This window comes from Homo sapiens, chromosome 13 (assembly GCF_000001405.40).
Source record: "Homo sapiens chromosome 13, GRCh38.p14 Primary Assembly".
NCBI lineage: Eukaryota > Metazoa > Chordata > Mammalia > Primates > Hominidae > Homo > Homo sapiens.
The window spans coordinates 80,654,280-80,657,399 of NC_000013.11; the positions used below are offsets into that span (position 1 = coordinate 80,654,280).

The window sequence follows — 3,120 nt, forward strand, 5'->3', positions numbered from 1 at the left end:
AGAAGGAAGATAATTTGAAACACGTTAAAAAATAAAGAGTTCAGTCTGCATGATTAAGGGTTCATTCTAAGCAGATTATCACGTTGTAGGCAGATTTCCCGAACTCATATTGTGCATTGCCAAATACTTATCCATCACATACTACCTACACTAGAATCTGGGCCTGGGGACAGCTGGCATATAATATTTACCAAATATAATGTTTATTTTTTCCCTTACAGAATCAAATGTCTGTTTTAAAGAAAAGGAAAAGTATAGAAAAACAAGAAACACAATCCATTGCCAGAACCCAACATTAAGTATACTAACAGTTGGGTTTTAAAAACATTTTCATTCTAATTTTTAAATCTATACAACAGGTGTTTCATGCTAACTTGTTGGGGCAGCACTCTCTGAGGTGGGCGGCTTCACAGGTATGGTCCACTCCGGGTCTTAGAATTTGCCACTTGTTAAGAGCCCCGTCAGCCCGAGGTGGAGGGGAAGCCGGGAGGAAAATGGCAGCCAAGGCTGCATCGGGCGGCGAAGAGGGCAGTGTACCCAGGGAGCGGGGCGCTGGCCAGGCCAGGCTGGGAATGGAATCTGTCCCTAGCAGCGAGGCTGGCACTGACCCCCTCCCAGTCACAGCCACTGAAGCGTCTGTGCCCGACCGTGGGGCCGACGCCCAGGAGAACGCTCCTCAGGCCGTGCTGCTGCCCCCGCTGCGGGGAGCTTGCCCGCAGCCCGGACGTGGCGGGGCCGGAGCTGGAGGCTGAGGGGAAGCTGCTGGAGAGGGTGAGGGATCCGCAGCAGCCACCCCTCTCAAGAGTCTGACCTTCCCCGCCTTTTCCTGCACCTCCTCTGAAACACCCCCAGCTCCTGAGGAGCGCTAGGAGACGCCGTTTGCCTCCTCCCGCAGCCCGGCGGGGGCGGCAAGGTGGGGACTCCTTGGTGTGGCAGCTGACCCCGGGCTCGGAGGTGCAGGTCACGCTGCATTGAGGATGTGCTTATCTTGTCGTCCTCCGTCGGGTAGAAGCTCTTCTCCGGGGTCTTCGTGGATCTGTTCAAAAGAGATCATGAAACATTTGGTGCTATAGCCCAACTTTTGGTGGGAAACATATGCAGCTCTTCTGGTGATGCTGTTTGGGCCCGCATCCCTGTGACAGTATTTCCCAAAAGGGACTATAAAGATAACTCACAAGCCATGTAGCTTCAACGTCATACATTCCAAGAAGGGACGGAAGTCAAGTGTGAAGTTCATGGTACTGTTCCCAGTGACCTTTCTCCTGCCCTGCCTCATGTGCTAAGCTTGCCTGAAAGCCTGTGGACTTCCAAACCATCACCTCTTTCCCACGAAGGACCACCTTATCCTCCCTGCTTTATCAGAATCCATCTAACCAATCAGTACCTCAGCCCTCTCCTCAGAAAATTAAGCTGCCCAAACGAAAATATCTGGGGAAGAACCCACTTCAATAATAAATCCCATTAAACTATGACCTAGGCAAGTCCTATGCGATAAATGTTTAAAAAAAAATGCTGTTGTTGAAAACAAAATTAGAAAAGGTAGTAATGGAAGTGACTGCTAAATATGACGGTAAAAAACAGAGATATGAAAATGTACCTACTGTGAACAAAAAACTAAAAACTGGCCATAAAGTGGATGGAAAAACCCAAAATGAAAGCCAGAGAAGAAATACTGTGGTTATGGTTTCAGATACTGCTCACAGAAGAGGCAGAGTAGTAAATGTTTCTGCTCAGGCAGATAGGTCAAAAGCTCAGTTAAGTAATAACAAACTGCTCTAGAGTAAGAACATGGATCATGCAAAAGCTCAGGGAATTCTCAAAAATTGCCAAGGAAATGGCATGAAAGAAGCAAACTGAAACCTCTACTCCAAAAATGCACATTCAAAAGTCCATTTCACGGGTCAATATCAGAATCCTAGTCAGATGCCCTTCTGCCTGGGTTTCATTTAAAACCACAGAGGTACAGGAATGAAGAAAATGACTCGAGAAAGTGTGGAGTGGAGAAGTGGTCCTCAACTCCAGTCTTGCTGCACCTCTATGCGCTCACCAGGTGAGGGCCTTCTGAAAATCAGAGTCCCTGAAAAGGCCTGGAAGAGGCCAGCAGTGAGAGGTTCAGGACCCAACTGAAATGCATGCTCTTGGTGAACAAGATGAACCATAGACATTGGACAAAAAGGGCAGCAAAAGCATTATCTCTGGCCTTAAACCAAAAGAAATCTGACTCTTCCCGTGCTTCAGTGTGTAGCATTGATAGCATAGATGATTTGAAATCATCCAACTCTGAATGTAGCTCCTCAGAAAGCTTTCATTTGCCTCCAGGCAGTATGCATGCACCTTCCAAATCCTTCACTTCTTTCTCGTCAAAGGAAGAGAAAAAGTTCAGTAATTCCTTGAAAATGAATCTTCCAAAATTGTCTCTAAATGCATCACACCACATGGCAGGACCATATGTGTTGGGGAGATTGTTTCGGCCAAGATACATGACTTCCCTTGGTGCCAACCCCTGTTCTTACTGAAGATAATGGCCTTTTATTCATATAGGAGGACTGTAATTTATGGTTCAATTCTCCAGCATATTTTTTTCTCTTTTGTACCTTTCTCACTTTTTAGAAAACTTCCAGACACACTTGAATAAGAAGAGAAGGGGCCTGTATTGCAAGGCTATTACAGAGGCGGCTAAGACTGCCAAGCAGCTGACCTCCGAAGTACAGGCTCTGAAGTAAAGGCTCCATTGACAGTTTGAAACATAAACACAGTAAGGTAGGCAAGACCATTGGAAGTCATCATAGATTTTCAGTCTATTTAGGAATAATTTCTACTACAAACTTGGCCAAATTGGAGAGAGATTGCACTTAGTTGGCTATTTTAAGAAATACTTACCTTATAGCAAATTTTAGACTCAGAAGCTTAAACTGAACATGCAATCAAAATTTTGTCTTAAGGAAGTGAGATTTTAGCAATATTTTTTAGTTTTGAAGTCTAAAACCATTCCAAGGCATAGGAACCATAGCCTCAAATTGAAATTGAATTTTCATGAGGACTGTTAATTGTTATTTGTACCTAATACCATGTGTGTGTGTGTCTATGTAAAGTATAGCCTGTGACTATGGAACATGGACA

At 45.0% G+C, this 3,120-nt stretch overlaps 1 pseudogene; it reads left to right on the top strand.

Moving 5' to 3' along the window:
* On the top strand, positions 1,118-2,919 carry PWWP2AP1 (PWWP domain containing 2A pseudogene 1; annotated as a pseudogene).
* Positions 2,920-3,120: the final 201 nt, after the last annotated feature.